The following is a 23,116-nucleotide window of genomic DNA, read 5'->3' as shown; positions in this document are numbered from 1 at the left end:
AAGAATTATACAAAAGAATAAGTCAATTTCATTGTATGTTAATTTAAAAATCAATACTTGAAAAGCAAAGCGCTGCCTCCTTCCAGCCTACCCTGAAATCCCTACTATAGTCCAAGCTCTGTGCTAGGCACCAAGAATATACAGTTAAAAAGACAGAGTCAGCCGGGCATGGTGGCTCACGCCTGTAATCCCAGCACTTTGGGAGGCTGAGATGGGTGGATCACTTGAGCTCAGGAGTTCAAGATCAGCCTGGGCAACATGGTGAAACCCCGTCTCTTAAAAAAAATACAAAAATTAGTCAGGCAGGGTGGCATGTTCCCGTAGTTCCAGCTACTAGGGAGGCTGAGGTGGGAGGATTGCTTGAGCCTGCAAAGTCAAGGCTAGAGTGAGCCGTGATCGTTCCACTACACTCCAGCCTGGGTGACAGAGTGAGACTCTCAAAAAAGAATAGAGTCTGCCATCAGAAGAGGTGTCAAACAAGTACATTATGATAACGGAGGAGATACAAGACATATAGAGAGCAACGCCTAAAAAAAAAAAAAAAAGCTTCCCGGAACACAGGGTATAGCTGACACCTGAGATGAGCAGAGATTGCCAAGACAAAAGGAAAGAGTATTCCAGACAGAGAAAATAGCATCTAACAGAGAGATATGGAAGAATGTAGTGTTCTAACCTAATTTGGAAACTACAAATAATTCCATTCCCAGGCACAAGCAGGCTGCTTAAGAATATGGTCAGGAAATGAGGACAGGTTCCCTCCAAGCAATATAAATAGTGCTTCGATTTGAAGCTTTGGAAATGGTAATTTTTCAGACTTAAGTGAAGCTCAGTACTTCCCATTAATTCCCTCACTCCCCTTTGTTCACATCATCACAGTTACTTATTATTCACGTATCCATCACTTTTGCCAAACTATAGTAATGCCCTTGTGGGGACACATAGGTGTCCCCATATGCACACTCACAGCACCTAATGAAAAATGTTTTATAATACAGGTATTCAGCAGCATAGCATTGGGATTAAAAGCACTGTGATTGGGACCAGTCTACCTGGGTTCAAATGTAGACTCTACCACTTGCTGGCTATATGACCCTGGACAAGTTACTAAACGTCTCTGTGCCTCAATTTCCTCATTGAAAATGTGGAAATGATAATGGTACCTACTCACCGGGCCCCTGTGACAAATGTGTTAATTTAATATAAACTGCTTGACTCAGTAAGCACCATGTAAGTGTTTGCTGTTATTACTCAACAAACACTAGCTACGTATAATAAAACTAGGATTTATACATTCTCCTGGTTTCAAAATAAACCCAAACTACTTTAAATAGGTGCAAAGCCAATGAGGTAGCTTGTGCCCACAATCCCAGGCAATAGGCTGAGGAGGGAGTAACACTTGAACCCAAGAGTTCAACCTGCAGTAAGCTATGATTGCGTCACTGCACTCGAGCCTGGGTGATGCAGTGAAACCCCCATCTCTGAAAAAGATCAATAAATAAAAATAAACATGTGCAAGACTGTATCCTGAGAATTACAAAGCACTGCTCATACTGAAGAGCTAAATAAATGAGGAGATATATTATGTTCATGGATCAGAGACAATATTATTAAGATATCAATTCTTCTGAAATTCATCTACATTCTCAATATAATCCCAATCAAAATCTGGACAGGCATTTTTGTAGAAACCAGACAAGCTGATTCTAAATTTTATACACAAATGCAAACAATCTAGAATAGCCAGAACAATTTTGAGAAAGAAAGAGTACTTAGACTACCTGATTTCAAAACTTAGTATAAAGCTACATAAACAAAGCCATGTGGTATCATGAGAAATAAAACCATATGTCCATACAAAGACTTGTATATGAATGTTCATAATAGCTGTATTCATAATGTCCAAAAACTGGAAACAACCCAAATATCCATCAGATAAAATGCAGTATATACAGATAAAATGCAGTATAACCATACAATGGAATATGAGTCAGCAATAAAAGGGAATGAAACACATGACAACATGGATAAATCTCAAATAATCATACTGAGTGGAAGAAGCCAGACCAAAAAAAAAAAGTGCATACTATATGATTCCTTGTATACAAAATTCTAGAAAATACAACCCAATCTATAGTGACAGAAAGCAAACCAGTGGTTGCCTAGAGATAGGGAATGAGGGGGAGTGACTGACTGCAAAGGAACATGAGGGAACTTGTGCAGTGATGAACATGGGTAGTTACACAACTGTATACATTTGTCAAAACTCATCAAATTGGACACTTACAATGGGTGAATTTTACTGTATATAAATTATGACTCAATGTAAATTAAATAAGTTATAATACAGCACTGTCTTTTGAGAATAAAAACATACCTTTTATACTCATGGAAAGAATACAGGCAAGAACTGCCATTCACCTACTGTTGCTGAGAAATCTATACTACAATATGAGAATTTTGTAAACTTAGCATGATGAAATAACTGAAAACACTGCTGATGGTTCTCTTACACTTGTGTCTCCTTCAACTAAAGAATCAAAGGGAACTTATGAAAGAATTTTCCAATTCTGAATAGAGGTACTTATTCTACATAAAAATTAAGAAATAACACTGAGTTTAACTGCAGAATCTGTTAGTATGCTTGCAACTGGCCTCAAAATCATCTAACCTTGCCAGATTTCAGAGAACTGCAAAAAAGCACAAAGGAGATTTAAGAAGATGAAAAAGCTCTTTTGCTATCCAAAATTTAACATTGGTACTTCCAATGATTAAAACTCTACTCCTACAGAAATAACCCTGCAAGGATCAAAAATATAGAAAATTGTTCCTTGAAGCTAGAAGTAAATCAGTAGTAGAAAATATACAGAAGACATTCTTAATTTTTATCTCATGAAGTTCTCTCAGGAGAGCACTATTTACCTGGTTAATTATCCTGAAAAAAGGTGTTTTTCTCCTTAACTCTCAAGAAATATTTTATAATACTAAGCACAGTTATTTTAAAAGTATGTCTCCACGTTGACTCTCAGACCTTACATTTTAAAAACAAAATCTGTAACATAAGCAATAAATGAAGACATAAATATTTACGGGAAGAAAAAAGGCAGTCTGTGCAATTTTCAAGTTCAAATAACCAGAGCAATATGTAACATGCATATATATAAATGTGGTTAGTTCTAAGGCAATGTGCTACTTTATCTTCTAGTTTATATTGTCAAAACTTAGCTCAGTAAATAGGTCACAGCTTCAGATATTTAAGATCTGAATTTGGCCAATGCGGTGGCTCACGCCTGTAATCCCAGCACTTTGGGAGGCTGAGGTGGGTGGATCACCTGAGGTCAGGAGTTCGAGACCAGACTGGACAACAAGGCGAAACCTCGTCTCTACAAAAAATAGACAAATTAGCCGGGTATGGTGGAGGGCGCCTGTAATCCCAGCTACTTGAGTGGCTGAGACAGGAGAATCACTTGAACCCAGGAGGCGAGGTTACTGTAAGCTGAGATAGCGCCACTGCACTCCAGCCTGGGCAAGAGAGCGAGACTACGCCTTGGAAAAAAAAAAAAAAAATTCTGAATTTGGTTAACCTTTCCTTTTGTAAAGTAACAATACAAATAATTATACTCAGTGCTTCCAATTCCAGTTCCACACACATTCATACCTCCAGGTCTTTATGGACTCTACCCCTTCAACTGTCTACCTTTTCATACCCTCTCCTTTTCTGGATTCTTCCCCTCTTTCAACTATCTTGATTGGTACATATTCCCCAATCTCTTGATCCAGAAGCAATCTGTCTTCCCACAGCCCTTTTCTGTAGTGTCTGCTGGAACTTCCTGTGTTATATCACACTTAAGTATACTAAACTCTCTTCTACTATGAGTATCCTTGAAAGGAATAAAGATCCCTGCTTTATTCAGCCTTATGTCCCTCAGTATTTAGTGCCTGGATCTAAACATTTATTGGGTGTGCTCCGTACAATGAAGAGGAAAACATTCAACAATGTTTTTCAGGCACTGTGTGCCATGCACATGCATGTTCTTTTATCTATTATTTGATATAAGCAGAAACAAATGCCAATGATAGAGAACTGCTCTAAATCCACTAAGAGACACAGACATGCAACTAAATTAATACAATATAACTTTCCTGTTAAATTAACGGATAAGTAGGATGCTGTGAGAGAAACATTACGTATGTTGAAAACTGTTCTGATTCCATACACTATGTGTTAGGAAACTAAGCCTAGATTTTCAAAGGGCCCAATGACTAGAAAGGTTTCAAGAGTGGTATAATAAGGGCCCCTCACTCTCACAAAATTTCTTACACAACCTGAAACTAACATTCCACCCATGTAACAACCTTAAGTGCAAGCAGGGAGCAACAAACATCCCTCTATTCTCCGAACAGCAATCGGCAATAGCAGGTCAGGTCTTCTCATTATCTTTATACAGACATGTTCATCTATCCCTCCTTCTCACATTTATCTGAATTGTGCACCATTTCCATACATCACGTGCCACTCCCATGCCCCAAACTGATCTATTTAACCTTTAAGATTCTTCTCAGGCTGGGTGTGGTGGCTCATGCCTGTAATCCCAGCACTTTGGGAGGCCGAGGCAGGCGGATCAACTGAGGTCAGGACTTCGAAATGAGCCTGAGCAACATGCAGAAACCCCATCTCTACTAAAAATACAAAAAATTATCAGGGCATGGTAGCACATGCCTGTAATCCCAGCTACTCGGGAGGCTGAGGTAGGAGAATCGCTTGAACTCAGGAGGCAGAGGTTGCGGTGAGCAGAGATCATGCCATTGCACTCCAGCCTGGGCAACAAGAGCGAAACTCCGTCTCAAAAAAAAAAAAATTATTCTGAAGGCCTGCTTTACATCCTCCAAATGTATATTGAACTACTGTTACTTAATCTGTACCTCTCTTCTTTAAAAATTGATAAAGTTAATTATTAACATTTTATATAACTTGGAGTTAGGCAAAACTGGTTTCAGATCCCAGACAGATCTGCTACTGCCTTGCAATGTAAAGTTGGGCAAGTTACTAAACTTGCTTTAATCTATTTCTTCCTCATTAAAATGAGAATTAAATTGGGTGATGTGCATAAAATGCCTACTATACACATATATTCATGCACACATACGTCACATACATATATACTTATTTAATTTTGATTTATTCTTACTTTCCTAGAAGATGCAGACTCTCTTTAAAACTCAAGGCAAAAGCAATGAAACATAAAGTGGGTACTAAAAATTGGACCAGTTAGTTGATGTAAAGGAGCCTCCCAACTTTAAAATGTGCCCTCATGGTAGCTCACACAAGCCACCCTCAGCAGATTTTTTTCACGTCTCCTACTGAAAAACATGAAAAACTCAAAGGTTTGACAAAGCCCGGATCCACAGTTCCTAGGTTGGTGGCCTAACACTGACATCTGTCCCAAGAATCTGTCTTTCTCACAGCAAACCTGATAAAGGTCAAGAGAAAAAACAACTTATATTACATAAGCCAAACAATACATAAATTAACACTTTTTAATCTGCATTATCTTCCTGGAGCAAGCAAAACCACTTCTGCAAATTGCGAACTCAGAAGAGAAAGTCCAAACGGGATGGGAACTGAGTCATCAATTTAAAACCATCAACCACTGACTGCCCCACCCCCAGAAAGAGGACTCTACCACGACCTACTACAGTGAAGCCCTGGGCATATCACACTCAGCCACTACTCTAAAAATCCCAACCTCCGACACCCAAGTCCCGCCAGTAGGAGCAGCACCCAGTCCCACCCTCGGCTCTGAGCCAGAGTCAGGTACCCTCACATCAGGGTCCCCACCCCAGATCCTCAGGTCCCAATCCAAGCTCTACCCCAGCCCGACACCGGCACTCACCCGGGCGGTGACCTTATATACTGTGTAGCCCCTCGGGTGTCGCTGGGGCTCGGTGACAGTGTAGAAACGGGCCAGGTCGGCACTCCGCTCCCGGTAAGAGGTCATCCTCCCGCCGCCTCTGCCGCCGCCGCCACCCGCCCGGGATCATGAGGGAAACCCGGCGCCGCCGCGGTCCAGGTTCCCCAACGCAGCGGCGAAGCGGCGAGGGGGCGGTGGCTCCAAGGCGGCTCCACGGCGGCGCCTCAGCTGCACAGCTCTGCTTCCGGGTCAGCAGAGAAGCTTCCGGGCCAGGCTATCTCCCGCTTCTAGGGGGAGGGGAGACTCCTCCTTAGATTCTAGCCCCTTTGGGGCACCTGGGACTGGCCTGTAGTTGAAGACTAAGGGGTCGCGCTGCCACCCCCGTCACTGCGGAGACCTCAGGCCTCTCCACTAAAGACGACCTCTTGTACGCTAGCTCCGTCACCTTTTATGAGATTTTATGAGAGTTGGTATAGCCACGCCACACCGGGAGAGCGTGGTCCTCCCTGCCTCCGCCCCGCCGTGGTACAAACTTAAGTGGAGTGTTGAAGGGATGGAGAGATACCATAGCCTAGCACCTTCTTTCCTTACCTATTCACAGCCTATCATTTTAAATACCCACAGCAACATCTCATTCTCTGAGACATATCCCTTACTTCTTTCTAAGACGAATTTCCTTCCATTGAGCGCCTTTCTGTAACACATCTGCACAGCAAGCCCCCAACCCAAAAAAGCTCCCAAGCCAATATCAATCTTTTAAAAATCCCCACAGGTTCGAAAATCTGGAGTCCGCCTCTGGCTAGAAGAAAGAAATATGTCACTCGACCTCTCCGAGTCACTCACTACAGTTTCCAATTTCAGCTGAGGTTGTTATCAACGCTTGGCAGTTCCTTTATCTTTTTGTGATCAAGGTTCCTTTTCATTCCACAAAATATTCATGCCAAGTCTTTGCCATTATCCTAAAGACTCTGTTCCTCTTCCTTTTGCCTCCCTACTCTCCGCACCACCACTCTTCTTTACAGGGAAAAAAGAAGAGGAAGAAGCAGCTATGGCCCTTAGTACCAATTCCTTTGTCTTCTCACATTTCCATGCCAGTCTGAAACGTACACATATCACTTGCTCATTTTTACAGCTAATGACTCCACATGTGATCTGAATCCCATCCTCTTTGGCAAACCTTAAGACACTGTTTCAATGACATTCCAAATCTCCTTTCTGTATGTTTAATCTCTTTCTCACCACTGGCTCCTTCTTTTCAACCTACATATATCTAAGTCTATTAGTCATTCATTAAACCTGAATTCACCACCTACTATGTGCCAGACATGATGCCAATTTGGCATTGGAGTTACAAAGATAGTCCCTGTTCTCCGACCGGGCGCGGTGGCTCACGCCTGTAATCCCAACACTTTGGGAGGCCGAGGCGGGCGGATTACCTCAGGTCAGGAGTTCGAGACCAGCCTGGCCAACATGGTGAAACCCCGTCTCTACTAAAAATACAAAAAATTAGCCAGGCGTGGTGGCAGGCGCCTGCAATCCCAGCTACTTGGGAGGCTGAGGCAAAAGAGTCGTTTGAACCCGGGAGGTGGAGGTTTCGGTGAGCCAAGATCGCACCATTGCACTTCAGCCTGGGGGACAAGAGCAAGACTTCTCTCAAAAAAAAAAAAAAAAAAAAAAAGGTAGATAGTCCCTGTTCTCAAGTACCATCTAGTAGGAAAAATAAAGACACAAAATATACTGTGATAAGTACCATGGTGAATGTATATATGGAGTACTAAAGAGCACATCAATTCAGGATGGAAGATCGCCTAAGGCTTTCTGATAGAAGACTGAGTCTTGGAAGAGAGATGGGAGTTAGCCAGGAGAGAAGGGAGTAAAGGGCATTATTCATTTTGCCTTCTTTTCTTCCTTTCTTTCTCCTTCCACTCACCGTCAAAGTTGTTTAAGTTGATTTTAAAGTAATCTACATCAACATTGCATCATCACCCATTTATTCCCATGTCCAATTCAATCTGGTTTCACCTCTATATTGCTACTCTGAAACTGCTCTGAAAACAGTTTCCAGTGACCTCAATTTGCCCAATATTTCTGGATTTTGAAAGTCTCTGACCATTTCTACCTTTTTAAAACTTTTGTATATTCTTAGCATATGAGTCAGCATTATTTCTCTTTTCTCTTTTATACTCAGATGACTTGCTCTTTTTTCAGTCTCCTTTGCTGGTTTCTATTCCTTCCAAGAACTTTTAGTATTCTTGTTTCTCAAGATTTTGCCTTTGATCCTTTGTTCTTTATTCCCATTGACTTGCAAATGTCTATCTCCCAGCATATCTCTCTTCCAGGACTTGACTCACTTTACCTACATCTTTATTATATATCTAACACTGGAAACAGAACAAATCAAAATCTCAACATTTTTTCCCCTCATATACCTATTTCTATCTCCATGACTGGTTTTACTCTCCATTTAATTACATTAGTTAGCTATTTGATATCATCCTTAGCAACTTCCTCTCCATGTTCTCTGAGTTTCTTTGATTTACCAGATATTATTGATTAAAAATTTAAAAAGTGGAAAAACATGTGCCACGAAAACACTACTAGAAATACTTAAGACAAAGAAATATGATCAGGAATAAAGAAGGACAAAACTTAAAGAATTCAATTCATAAAGAAGACAGAGCAATTCTAAATGTGTATATACCTAATAACAAAACTAAAAATGTAAAAAGCAAAAACGATTAGAACTAAAAGAAGAAATAGACAAATCCACAATTATAGTTAAAATTTCAACACTCAGGCCTGGCATGGTGGCACATGCCTGTAATCCTAGCACTTTAGAAGGCTGAAGTGGGTAGATCACTTGAGGCCAGGAGTTCAAGACCAGCCTGGCCAACATGGCAAAACCTCATCTCTACTAAAAATACAAAAATTAGCCGGCGTGGTGGCACATTCCTGTAACCCCAGTCACTTGGGAGGCTGAAGCACAAGAATCACTTGAACCAGGGAGGTGGAGGTTGCAGTGAGCCAAGATCATGCAACTGCACTCTAGCGTGGGCAATAGAGCAAGAATCTGTCTCAAAAAAAACAAAAAAGATTTCAACGCTCCTCTCTCGGTAATTGACAAAACATGTAAACAAATAAATGAATAAGGATACAGAAAACCTGAAAAGCTCTATCAACCAACTCTACCTGATAGACATTTATAGAACACGCCACTCAATAGTAGCAGAAAATGTTTGTTTCAAGTGTACAGAAAACATTCAACAAGTCAGGCCATATCCTGGGCTATAAAATAAATGTTAACAGGCTGGGCGCAGTGGCTTATGCCTGTAATCTCAGCACTTTGGGAGGCCAAGGTGGGCAGATAGCCTGAGGTTGGGAGTTGGAGACCAGTCTGACCAATGTAGAAAAACCCTGTCTCTACTAAAAATACAAAATTAGCCAGGCATGGTGGCACATGCCTGTAATCCCAGCTACTCAGGAGGCTGAGGCAGGAGAATCACTTGAACCCGGGAGGCGGAGGTTGCAGTGGGCTGAGATCGCACCATTGCACTCCAGCCTGGGCAACAAGAGCGAAACTCCGTCTCAATAAATAAATAAATAAATGTTAACAAAATTTTTAAAACCAATATAAATTGGATTTGCTCTGTGACCTCAGGGAATTAAACTAGAAGTTAATAATAGAAAGTTACCCATAAAATTCATGAATATTTGGAAAGTAAATACAATTCTTAAAGATGCCTGGATCAAAAATAAGTGACAAAAACTTTTAAACATATTTGGAATTGAATGAAAATGGAAGCATATCATAATGTGTGGGACACAGCTAATGCAGTGCTTAGAGGGAAATGTATAACCTTGATGGCTTATAGTAGACAAGAAGAAGGGTCATGAACTAAGCTTCTACTTTAAGAAGCTAGAAAAAAAAATATTGAACCCTAGAGCAAGAATAAGGAATAAAACATAAAGAAAAGAGTAATAACTCAATGAAATTTTTTTAAAAAGAGAAAAACAATGAAATAGAAAAAGAGAAAAGCAATAAAGAAAAACCAATGAAACCAAAAACTGATTCTTTGTTAGGGGGAACTCCAAAAGTTCACTGCTCCACATAAACTATGAAAAAACTAACAAAAACTCTCAGTATTAACTCTTTCAGAACTCTGGAAACTAACCAAAAGCTTACAGCAACCCAGGAACACTTATTTAAGAAAATAGGCTGAATCTCAGCTGGGCGTGGTGGCTCATACCTGTAATCCCAACACTTGGGGAGGCGGAGGCGGGCGGATCACGAGGTCAGGAGTTTGAGACCAGCCTGGCCAACATGGTAAAACCTCGTCTCTACTAAATAGTCAAAAAATTAGCCGGGTGTGGTGGTGGGCACTTGTAGTCCCAGCTATTCGGGAGACTGAGGCAGGAGAATTGCTTGAACCTGGGAGGCGGAGGTTGCAGTGAATTGAGATCACGCCACTGCACTCCAGCCTGGGCGACAGAGCGAGACTCTGTCTCAAAAAAGAAAAAAAAAAGAAAGAAAGAAAATAGGCTGAATCTCTAAGAACAGCAAACTTTCTGGCATTTTAACTAACCCTAGGCCCATCCCCTGCTCCTCAACTCAGGGATATCCTTGAAAATAACAGCCAACATTCCTACAACTAGTTCTGAGGGAGAAGAGACCTCATTTTTATAGAATAGTAATTATTACTATAAATAAATAAATATCTGGTCTTATTTGTCTGGTGGCTTTCAGAAGACCAACTCAAAAGGCTTATCTTCACCTTGTCCCAACGCTAAAGCCATTAACCAGGGGACATTTTTCCACAAATATTTATAGGTAAATGTGTTTGTCTTTGCTCCCTGAAGTAATGGATAACAGCTGAGCAAACAATCGACTGCCCAAGAAGCTTGAGAGAAAAGGCTGGAGAATGAGAAGCTTTGGAAGAATAAGGGCCTTGAAAAGTTCCAATATATTCTTGAGAATCTAGAAGACCATGCACATGACCAGAGCTACGCAGATGCTCAGGAAAGACTTGAGAAGGCTTTAAGCTTTCACATCTAGCCAAACTTGAAGCTCTGTACAAGCAAGATGAGAAGACTAAGGCAGGGTTGTAAACTGCCTGGCTGAGTGTTGAAGATGTACACCTGCATAAAAACAGGGCCTCTGCAGGGTGCAGTGGCTTACACCTATAATCCCAGCACTTTGAGAGGCTGAGGCAGGTGGATCACTTGAGCCCAGGAGTTCAAGACCAGCCTGGGAAACATAGTGAGGCCCCATCTCTACAAGAAAATGCAAAAAAAAAAAAAAAAAAAAAAAAAAAAAATAGCAGGGCATAGTGGTGTTGGGAAAAGGGCTTGTGGAGTGCCTGTATAAACTGACCATAAAAATATGGACAATAGGTTGTGGAAAGCCACAAAAGGCCTCTGAGGAGGAAAACCTCCTAATTGCCATCAAGTTCCCATGCTCAGAGAGAGACCAGCTGTCTTATCTGTAAACACTGTGTTCAGGGAGAAAGACACTCCTTTAAAACACTGAAATGTAGACAGACATGCAGGCTCCTAGTTAAGCCGCTCCCACTAGCTACTCTCCGATAAGTTAAAGATATGCTGTTTGAGCATAAAGGAGATTCATTTAAACCGCTATTACTATAAATTACGCCTATGACGCACTGCAACCCTTTCACTGTTTCGCCTTGAACATGTGCTTCTTAGATCTAAGTGATTGTACTCAATAAATAGTGTGGAGACCAGAGCTCTGAACTGTTTGCAGCCTCCATTTTGCAACTGGCCCCCTGGCTCCCACCTTTACAAACTCTCAACCTGTCTCTTCTCATTCAGGAAAAGGGCTTGTGGGGTGCCTGTATGAACTGGCCATAAAAATATGGGACATTAAGTTGTGGAAAGCCGCAAGAGGCCTCTGAGGAGGAAAGCCTCCTAATTGCCATCATGTTCCCATGCTCAGAACTAGACCCGCTCTCTTATCTGTAAACACTGTGTTCAGGGAGAAAGACACTCCTTTAAAACACTGAAATGTAGACAGACATGCAGGCTCCTAGTTAAGCCGCTCCCACTAGCTGCTCTCTGATAGTTAAAGATACGCTGTTTGAGCACAAAGGAGATTCATTTAAACCGCTATTACTATAAATTACGCCTATGACGCACTGCAACCCTTTCACTGTTTCGCCCTAAAAATCTGCTTCTTAAATCTAAGTAATTGTACTCAATAAATAGTATAGAGACCAGAGCTCTAAACCTTTTGCAGCCTCCATTTTGCAACTGGCCCCCTGGCTCCCACCTTTATAAACTCTTAAGCTGTCTCTTCTCATTCCTTTGTCACCACCGGACTTCGAGTACCCTACAGGTGGTGTTGAGGCTGGTCCCCAACATAGTGGCGTACACCTGTAGTCCCAGCTACTCAGGAGGCTGAAACAAGAGAATTGCTGGAGCCTGGGAGGCACAGGTTGTGGTAAGTTAAGATCATGCCACTGCATGCCAACCTGGATGATATAGCAAGACGGTGTCTCAAAATAAATAAGTAAATAAAAATAAAATAAGGCCAGGCGCGGTGGCTCGTGCCTATAATCCCAGCACTTTGGAGGCTAAGGTAGGTGGATCCCTTGAGCCCAGGAGTCTGAGACTAGCCTGGGCAATATAGTGAGACCCTGTCACCGTAAAAAATAGAAATAAAATAAAATAAAAACAGGGCCTCTCTGCAAAGACTGGGAGCTGTTTTTTTGGTTCCAGCACCTAAGGAAATCACTGTCCAATCATTTGCTGTCCAATCTCTGCCTAATTAATAAGCTAACGGAACAGAGACTTTAGTGGTCACACACAACAAATAACAGATTTAACAGAATTAGTTCAGAAAACTAAATAAACAACTACTACAATAAGCACTAACAATGAACTCTAGGAAGGAGAGATAATCTGACTTTCAGAGTTGTCATATTAGAATATTTAAAATAATTAATTTTTCAACAAAAATTTATGAAGCATTATAAAAAACAAAAAGTGTGACCCATACACAGATAAAAAAGCAATCAATTAAAAACTATGTCCATGAGGAAGCTCAGATGTTGGTCTTACTAGACATAAATTTTAAATTGGCTACTTTAAATACATCCAAAAAGCTAAAGAAAACCACGTCTAAAGGAACGAAAGACAAAGCCAAAACCGACTCAAGAAGACAAAAATGTCAGAATAGACCAGTAAAGACATTAAGTCTGTATCAAAAAAATGTCAACAAACAAAAAGCCTGGGATTAGAAGCTTTTTCCAATGAATTCAGTGAAACTGAGTGTTAAAGAAGAATTAACGTCAATCTTTCTCAAACTCTGTCAAATAAAAGAAGAAAAGAGAATACTTTCCAACTCATTTTATGAGGCCAGTATTACCCAGGTACCACAGCCAAATAATCACAAGAAAAAAAATTTCCTTGTGAATATCCTCAACTGAAAACTCACAGACCAAATCTAGCAGCACAGTAAAAGGATTACATGACATGAACATGTGGGATTTATCTCCAAAATGCAAAGTTGGTTCAATATATGAAAGTAAATCAATGTAATACACCATATTGATAGTATAAAGGGAAAAAATACAGGATCATCTCAATAGATGCAGAAAAGACATTTGACAAAATCCAACATCCTTTCATGTTAAGAATACACAACCAACTAGGAATAGAAGGGGAACTTCCTCAAACTGAAAAAGGGCACTGATGAAAAACCCACAGCTAACATCATTCTCAATGGTGAAAAACTGAAAGCTTTCCCCCTAAGCAGGAGCAAGACAAGGATGTCCGCTCCTCCACATCCATTCAATATTGTATTGGTAGTTCTGGCGGAGGCAATTAGACAAGAAAAAGAAATAAAAGTCATCCAGGTTGGAAAGGTAGAGGTGAAACAATCTTTATTGTCAGATGATACGATTTTTTTTTAATTGAGACAGGGCCTCATTCTGTCACCCAGGCTGGAGTGCAGTGGCGCAATCTTGACTCATTACAGCCTCGACATCCCGGGCTCAAGTAATCCTCTCACCTCAGCCTCCAAAGTAGCTAAGATTACAGGTGTGCACCACCATGCCCCCCTAATTTTTGTATTTTTTGTGTAGATGGAGTCTCACCATGTTGCCCAGGCTAGTCTTGAACTCCTGGACTCAAGCAATCTGCCTGCCTTTGCCTCTCAAAGTGCTGGAACTACAGGTATGAGCCACAGCATCCAGCCAAAGTTGTTTGTTTTTAGGTTTTGTTGTTGTTGTTGTTTTTTAAAATCATGGCTCACTGCAGTCTCAACCCACCTCCTCACCTCCCCACCTCCCCCAACCCTCTCCCTCTGCTTCATGTGATCCTCCCACCTCGGCCTCCCCAGTAGCTGGGTCTACAGGTATGCACCACCATGCCCGACTAATTTTCGTATTTTTTGTAGAGATGTAGTTTTGCCATGTTGCCCAGGGAGGTCTCAAACTCCTGGGCTCAAGTGATCCACCTGCCTCAACTTCCCAAAGTGCTGGGATTACAAGTGTGAACCACCAAACCCAGCCAACATGATCTTATATATAGAAAACTCTAAAGAATCTACACACACTCTCAAAAAGCTTTTAGAGCCAAAGAATAAGTTTAGCAAAGTTGAAAGATACAAGGCCCTTATATAAAAATTAATTGTATTTCTATACACTAACAATGAACAATCCAAAACTGAAATTAAGAAAATAATTCTACTTACAACACTGTCAAAAATAATAAAGTATTTGGAAATAAATTTATTTATTTATTTTATTTATTTTTGAGACAGAGTCTTGCTCTGTCATCCAGGCTGGAGTGCAGTGGTACAATCTGAGCTCACTGCAATCTCTTCCTCCTAGGTTCAAGCGATTCTCCTGCCTCAGCTTCCCAAGTAGCTGGGACTACAGGCGTGCACCACCACACCTGGCTAATGGGAATAAATTTAACAAAGGAAATGTAATGCTCGTACACCTAAAACAATAAAATATTGAGAGAAAGTCATTAAGATGGCAATACTCCCCAAATTGAATACAAATTCAGTGCAATCCCTATTAAAATTTCAACTTTTTTTTTTAACAGAAAGGAACAAGTTGATCTTAAAATTCATATGGAAATGCAAAGGACTCTGAATAGCAAAACAATGTTAATAAAGATTGGAGAATTCACATGTCCTGATTTCAAAACTCACTACAAATCTACAGTAATCAAGGCAGTGTGATACTGGTATAAAGGTAACTGTATAGATAATGGCATAGAGTTGTGAGTTCAGACATATATCCATATGTTTACAGTCAAGCGATTTTCAACAAAAAGCAATCAATAGGAAGGAGAGATGGGGAGAGCAGAGAAATAGTCTTCAACAAATGGTGCTGGGAAAACTAGATATTCACATGTAAAATAATGAATTTAGACCCCTCCTAACACCACATACTAAAATTAACTCAAAATAGACTAAAGATGGAAATGTAAGAGGTAAAAGCATAAAGCTCTTAGAAGGAAACATAAGTGTGTATCTTCATGGCCTTGTAACAGGAAATGGTTTGCTATGACACCAAAAAGCACAAGCAGGCAAAGTAAAAATAGATAAGATGGAATTCATCAAAATTAAAAGCTTTTGTGTGTCAAAGAACACTATCAAAGTGAAAAGAGAATCTACAGAATGGGAGAAAATATATGCAAATCATGTATCTGACTAGAGTCTAGTATCCAGAATATATAAAGAACTCTTTCAACCCAACAATAGAAGGATAAATAACTCAATTTTAAAATAGGCAAATGATCTGAAAATGTTTCTCCAAAGAATCCATACCCATGGCCAATAAGCACATGAAAAGATGTAGCATTAGTCATCAGGGAAATGCACATCAAAACCACAATGACCTACAAATTCACATTCATTAGGATGGTGTTATGGGCTGAACTGTGTCCCTGCAGAATTCATATACTGAGAAGTTCTGCCTGCAGTACCTCGGAATGTGATTGTATTTAAAGATAGAGCCTTTAAAGAGGCAATCAAGGTAAAATGAAATTATATGGATGAGCCCTATCCAATATGACTTATGTCCTTACAAGAAGAGGAAACTAGAACACAGAGGAAAGACCATTTGAAGACAAAGATGATAGGCATCTATGGGCATGTTGTATCCCAATTAGTATTAGTAAGTTAGTATTAGTAAATTTAAAAGCCAGGAAGAGAAGCCCTCAGAAGAAAACAACTCTGCTGACACCTTGATCTTGAACTTCTTTTTTTTTTTTTTTTTTTTTTTTGAGATGGACTCTCACACTGTCACCCAGGCTGGAGTGCAGTGGCACCATCTTGGCTCACTGCAATCTCCACCTCGCGGGTTCAAGCGATTCTCCTGCCTCAGCCTCCTGAGTAGCTGGGATTACAGGCGCTCACCACAATGTGCAGCTAATTTCTTTTTTCTTTTTTTTTTTTCTCCCTCTGTCGCCCAGGCTGGAGTGCAGTGGCCCTATCTGATGAGTTCACTGCAACCTCCACTTCCCGGGTTCAAGCGATTCTCCTGCCTCCAAGTAGCTATGATTACAGGCGCCTGCCTCTGTGTCTCACCTGACTGACACAGCTGAGCCTAACTCTTCTCCTAGTCAGGGCTCTCCTAGAAAGTGGCTCTCATGATAGGAATAAACTGGACACAGGTCAATCATGGAGCCACATGGGCATCTGCAGTATAAACAAGTTTCCTTTCAGAGGGACACATTGCAGATCAGGCATTTAGGTGTTAGGCGGCATTCCAGGATAAAGAAGTATCCCATGAAAGGCATACTGTAAATATCCATGACCAAATCTCTTGGCTTTCCACCAGGACAGGGCTAGAATTCATAGCCACTCTACAGAGACAACCTCAAGACCAAATTAGAGGAAAATACATCAAATCCAGATTTAGCAGAAATGGATGCTTTGTCACTCAGGTGAGTTTTTGATACATTTGGACCTAAAAGCTACTCCACAGCCTCAATGACACTAATCTTTGTTAACAGGCAACATGCTCGCTCTAAGCTCTTTTTTTTTTTTTTTTTTTTTGAGATGGAGTCTCACTCTGTTGCCTAGGCTGGCATGCAGTGGTGTAATCTTGGCTCACTGCAACCTCCGCCTCCCGGGTTCAAGTGATTCTTCTGCCTCAGCCTCCCAAGTAGCTGGGACTACAGGCATGCACCACCAAACCCAGCTAATTTTTGTATTTTTAGTAGAGACGGGGTTTCTCCATGTTGGCCAGGCTTGTCTCGAACTCCTGACCTCATGATCCGCCCACCTCGGCCTCCCGAAGTGCTGGGATTACAAGCATGAGCCACTGCACCTGGCCCAAGCATGCAGTTTTAAAACATAGGCTTACTAGTCAAACAAGTTTTATCTCCTAGATGGTTAAGGTCACAAAACTATAAATCCAACCTAGGAGCCGAATGCATGATGAAAATAAATTGGTTAATGCATGTCATTAATGAAAGGAAAAACAGAGGGAAAAATCATACTTAACTTTTTCATTTCTTTGCTTCTGTGATATTTTTGATACTTGCCTGACTTGTTAAAAAGTAACTTCAGATGATGGCCAGCCTTGTTTGCCATGAGCAATTCAAACATAATTGTTAAGAATGAGTAAGTTAGGCTAATGTAATAATTACAGAATTCTTTTTCATAACTTGAAATCTTAGCTATATTATATAAGAGATAGAGATCCATGAAATGTCTGAGTCATTTCTGAGTAAGTTAAAATACTGAAACATTAATTGTTGAACTTAATTTAAAAATATATATTGGCATCTTGTTTTTGTACAGTATAAAGAAGCTAAATATATTTGGATCTGTTAATTAACATGGAAAATGGAGGAAATATATTTCTAGAAATTATGAAATGGTGAATGCTGATATAAGACAGTTTACAACTGTTAAATGAAAATTATAGAAGGCCATGGGAAGTTGATGACTTCATGCTTTGGACAGCTTTTCCCAAGATATCAGAACAGACTCCCCATCGTAATGAGACTCTTCCCTCTCTTAATTTTTCTTTGCTTATACCTACCTCTTTCACTTGGCAGGATAATGCTGTAATTAGAATTTCACAGTCAGTAGCTTCTGCAGGCAACTTGAAGTGTTGGATCCATCATGTCAAACCTGAATCTTTACATGGCTTTCAAGATCCATTAGTTCACCCATTGGCTAACTTTAGCAACATCCCTAATGCCACTGTTTTTTTTCAAATTGTACTTATGGTCTCTTTTATAGAGTTAAACTTCTAGATCCACTTGTTCTCATTCCCTGTTTTAATTTAACCCCGTCATGGGATGCTAGATTATCTGCTAACTGAATAGGATGAGTCTGTGCAGTTGCTGACATTTCTTGTTGCACATGGATAAATACATCAGATATTGTAGAGCCTCATTTGCAAAAATTAACAAACAGGCTACTTGGTTAAAATGAGTAGACTCCTCATCTGGCTCTCTCTGTGATCTAATCAATTTTAATTGGTTTGGTTCATGGGGATCCTGGCTCAAGAGTATACTCCAAACTTTTGGATTACCCTTCTGATAGTCATAACAGAAGTCTCTCTGGTATGCTGTATTCTCTCAAAAGCTTTAAATGTGGCCGGGCGCGGTGGCTCACGCCTGTAATCCCAGCACTTTGGGAGGCCGAGGCGGGCGGATCACGAGGTCAGGAGATCGAGACCATCCTGGCTAACACGGTGAAACCCCGTCTCTACTAAAAATACAAAAAATTAGCCGGGCGAGGTGGCGGGCGCCTGTAGTCCCAGCTACTCGGGAGGCTGAGGCAGGAGAATGGCGTGAACCCCAGGGGGCGGAGCCTGCAGTGAGCCGAGATTGCGCCACTGCACTCCAGCCTGGGCGACAGCGAGACTCCGTCTCAAAAAAAAAAAAAAAAAAAAAAAAAAAAAAAAAAAAAAAGCTTTAAATGTTTGCATGCAGTCATCCATCAAATGTCAAATAATCTCTCTTTGGCTGGAACAAAGAAATGTATTATCATGAGGACATTGTAACCTATGAATGGTGTATTGAGACTGGAAACCCAGAGTGGTGGTAACTGAGAGTAGCGCTAACACTCTCAGAGTTTTGGTCACACTCCCACCTAGGAGAGAGCCTGACCAAAAAGGGAAGAATTGTTGAACAAGATTATGAAAGGTCGTTGTTTGAACTGAGCTCCTGCAATGGGCCCAAAACAAACCAAACCAAAATGGAGTCACTCATCCTAAACGCCACCTAACCAAACTGAAAGTTTAAGGAAGTAGATAGGTTCCAAATAATACCAGTTTCTTTTCTGAAAACAAGAGATTCTAGTCTAACTGAGTCATCGTAAGGAAGTCTCTTCTGCATTATCCTTTACAAAAAAGTAACCCAATGTTAACCAATTAGGTTTTTTTTGTTGTTGTTGTTGTTGTTTTTGTTTTTTTTTCCCGAGATGGAGTTTCACTCTTGTTGCCCAGGCTGGAGTACAAGGGCGTGATCTCAGCTCACTGCAACCTCCACCTCCCAGGTTCAGGCGATTCTCCTGTCTCAGCCTCCCGAGTAGCTGGGATTATAGGTGTGCACCACCATGCCCAGATAATTTTTGCATTTTTAGTAGACAAGGGGTTTCACCATGTTGGCCAGGCTGGTCTCGAACTCCTGACCTCAGGTGATCTACCCACGCCGGCCTCCCAAAATGCTGGGATTACAGGCCAGGTTTTCTTTTTTTTTTTCTATTGTTCTGTTTCATTGCTCCCATCTTCCAAAACCCATTTTTCTGTTATTAGCCAATGGAAGTTCTTTTCTTTCTTTTCTTTTCTATTTTTTTCTCTCTTTTTTTTTTTGAGACGGAGTCTTGCTCTGTCACCCCAGCTGGAGTGCAATGGCACTATCTCAGCTCACTGCAACCTCCGCCTCCCGGGTTCAAGTGGTTCTTCTGCCTCAGCCTCTTGAGTAGCTGGGACTACAGGCGTGTGCCACTACGCCCAACTAATTTTTGTATTTTTTGTAGAGACAGGGTTTCACCATGTTGGTTGGTCAGGATGGTCTCAATCTCTTGACCTCATGATCCGCCTGCCTTGGCCTCCCAAATTGCTGGGATTACAGGCGTGAGCCACCATGTCTGGCCGGAAGTTCTAATTCTATTTTGTGGAATGGAGGCTGTCCAGTATAATTAATCACAAATAAAAGGCAATTAATGTATAACTAAATTAAATATATTAAATATTAATATAACAACAATAATATCATCTTTTTTTGTCTTTGTCAATTGAAGTCATTGACAGATCTGAGCTTCTGACCAGAATAACAAATCTTACTATATTAAACTTATATATTATCAGTCAAAAACAAAAACACAAGGTTTTGGTGAACTTTCGCTTTATGGCTGTGAATTTTTCTTCAATTTCTATTAGATTTTTTTCAAAATATTATAATAGCTCAAAGAGTCCCTTAAATCATTTTTTTAACCTCCAGTATTCCAGACACCCAAGGTTTAGATATCAATAAACAAAACATTCATTAAAAGGAACAAAAGGATACATACCTTGCTCCTTGATGTTAATCATCCTTAAGAACATACACTACTTCCAGATCAATATCTAGCTTTGGCATGGGCAGAGGCAGAATACGTGACCACCAAATAGCCATTTATTTATTCATTATTTAACAAACAATAGACATGGTTTCTCTCCTCAAATGGATATCAGACAATCACAGAAAGCACTTTTGCTCATTCTTACATGCAGCTCTCTCATTTCTCCTCTGACTTTCCATTGCTCAGCCTCTTCATTCTTTCCTGGGTCTAAGGAGCCCCTTAGATTGGCTCTTGCTTCTTAATACCTTTCGAGAAAAACCATTTTAGGAACCCTAAAACAAACCAGGCCAGGCAGTAAGGTCATCTGCTAGAGATGAGCTCAATTACATAACATCCACAAGTCTCTGTAGTGTAAGTTCTCACAAATCTGCAAAGCCCTATTCTGGGGCTGAGAGGTAGAAATAAGAAAGGGTTGGCCAGGTGCAGTGGCTCACGCCTGTAATCCCAGCACTTTGGGAGGCTGAGGCAGGCATATCACGAGGTCAGGAGTTTGAGATCAGCCGACATGGTGAAACCCCATCTCTATTAAAAATACAAAAATTAGCTGGATGTGGTGGCACACGCCTGTAGTCCCAGCTACTCAGGAGGCTGAGGCAGGAGAATCGCTTGAACCAGGGAGGCGGAGGTTGCAGTGAGCCAAGACTGCACCACTGCATTCCAGCCTGGGTGACAAAAAAAAAAAAAGAGGGATTTAGGGATGGAGGAAAGAGAAGGGCTAACTTAAATTTTATATCCTGACTACCAAATTCCTATCACTGTTCTTCTGTTTTAAAAGCCTGGACATCAAAAGTTCTTAGTCTACACATGTTAGAGAAAGAAATTAGAAATTCTAGCAAGGGCTAAGTGCTATGATGTTTTCATCAAGGACCACTGCAGAACACATACTCATGGAGTACTCTATCAGCGTTATAGACTGACTTACTGATGACTATAAGACCATTGGTTAAATCTGCCCTGCTTCAAATTAAATCTATAATTTGCTACCACTTCAGCAAGCCTAGATATAATATTCAGCTGGAAAAATAAGAAATAGTACCAAAAAGAAAGAAAGAATTCCACAACCATAAAAAATTAGGAAACTACCATACCAGACTATAAGGTTCTGTACGGGAAAAACTATGTCACCATGACAACCTGGGATATTTTTACTGAAAGAGTTGGTAGGTTATACAGAAACATTTTCCAGGATTTGGAGGCTGAGAGCAAAGTACAAGTACATGTGTGGGAGTTGAGAGACATTCTGAATGGGCTTTTCATCCTTATTTTTTAGCTTTTCCTCGCAATCTATATTTTGCCAAATTCTGTTTTATAAGAGGTACTATGGGTTTGACTTTGTCCCCTCCAAAACTCATGCTGAAATTTGATTCCCATGGCTGGGCATGGTGGCTCACAAATCCCAGCACTTTGGGAGACCAAGGCAGGTGGATGGCTTGAGCTCAGGAGTTTGAGACCCACCTGGGCAACATGGTGAAATCCATTCTCTACAAAAAATACAATTAGCATGGCGTGGTGGTGTATGCCTATAGTCCCAGCTACTTGAGGGGCTGAAGCAAGAAAATCACTTGAGCCCAGGAGGTGGAGGTTGCAGTGAGCCAAGATCATGCCATTTCACTGCAGCCTGGGCAACGGGAGTGAAACGCTGTCTCAAAAAATAAATAATTAATTAAGAAATAAAAAAAAAGAGAAAAGAAATTCGATTCCCAATGTGGTGGTATTAGAAGGTGGGTCCCAGTGGGAGGTGTTTGGGTTATGGGGGCAGATCCTTCATGAATGGCTTGGTGCAGTTCTTGCAGTAGTAAGTGAGTTCTCAGTCTTACAAGACTGGATTAATTTTTGTGGGACGGTCCCATGGGAGTGAATTGCTGTAAAGCCAGTATGCCCCTCAGATTTTGCCATATTCCCTTCCCCTTTGACCTTCTCTGCCATGTCTTGAGCCAACATAAAAGCCCTCACCACAAGCTGAGCAGATGCTGGGGTGCCATGCTTTTTGAACTTAGCCTGCAGAACTGTGAGCTAAATAAACCTCTATTCCTTAAAAACTACCCCATAGGTATTCTGTTACAGCAACACAAAACAGACTAAGACAGAAGAAAAGGGCAAAGTAATTTTTATACCCCAGAATTATATATACATGTTATCAGCATGTATGTATGATTATGTAACTACTAATTAGGGAGATTTTTAACAAAGGATATTCATTTTCCTGATGGACAGGAAGATTAACATCAATCTTCCAAAGGAGTATGCTAATGTACAATAACCAAAATAGATACTTTTTTAGAAAAATCTGAAAGTATCAGATAGATACTTCTCTTATGTATTGAATCTATATGATATTAGTTCTCATTTTATATAATTTTTGTCTTCTGTTTTTAATTTTTCTCTGTACTATTTTCCAAAGGAACAGAACAGCACAAAATTCTGTTATATGTATATTATCCACTCAGTATATGCTACTTTATTTTTCTTTTTTTTTTTGAGACGTTGTCTCACTTTGTCACCCAGGCTGGAGTGCAGTGGCGCGATCTCGGCTCACTGCAAGCTCCACCTCTTGGGTTCACGCCATTCTCCTGCCTCAGCCTCCCAAGTAGATGAGACTACAGGCATGTGCCACCATGCCCGGCTAATTTTGTGTTTTTAGCAG

The 23,116-nt window shown here is 40.7% G+C and overlaps 1 protein-coding gene across 43 annotated transcripts in view, besides 2 other annotated features; it reads right to left on the bottom strand.

The window, feature by feature from the left end:
- The window catches only part of RPS6KC1 (ribosomal protein S6 kinase C1), an 811,495-nt gene extending 805,335 nt beyond the window's left edge, over window positions 1–6,160 (bottom strand). For all 43 annotated transcript variants that reach the window (XR_007058661.1, XR_007058662.1, NR_146210.2 and 40 more), the window contains exon 1: window positions 5,892–6,160. Coding sequence is in view for 9 of the 43 variants with exons in the window: in XM_047417936.1 (XP_047273892.1) it covers window positions 5,892–5,996 (105 nt within the window). In the remaining 34 variants the exon portion in view is untranslated. The remainder of the gene's footprint in view (window positions 1–5,891) is intronic.
- Window positions 5,932–6,031: a silencer, noted in NCBI's record as "silent region_1809". NCBI's record gives its function as "represses an Ori minimal core promoter by ATAC-STARR-seq in GM12878 lymphoblastoid cells {active_cell/tissue: GM12878}" and the evidence as "EXISTENCE:reporter gene assay evidence [ECO:0000049][PMID:35858748]".
- Window positions 11,236–12,194: a transcriptional cis regulatory region, noted in NCBI's record as "candidate enhancer chr1.11646 targeted for multiplex CRISPR interference". NCBI's record gives its function as "positively regulates RPS6KC1 gene expression with high confidence in K562 cells {active_cell/tissue: K562}" and the evidence as "EXISTENCE:mutant phenotype evidence [ECO:0000015][PMID:30612741]".

This window comes from Homo sapiens, chromosome 1 (assembly GCF_000001405.40).
Source record: "Homo sapiens chromosome 1, GRCh38.p14 Primary Assembly".
NCBI lineage: Eukaryota > Metazoa > Chordata > Mammalia > Primates > Hominidae > Homo > Homo sapiens.
The sequence above is the reverse complement of the archived record's forward strand: the minus strand, read 5'-3'. Positions and strand labels throughout refer to the sequence as shown.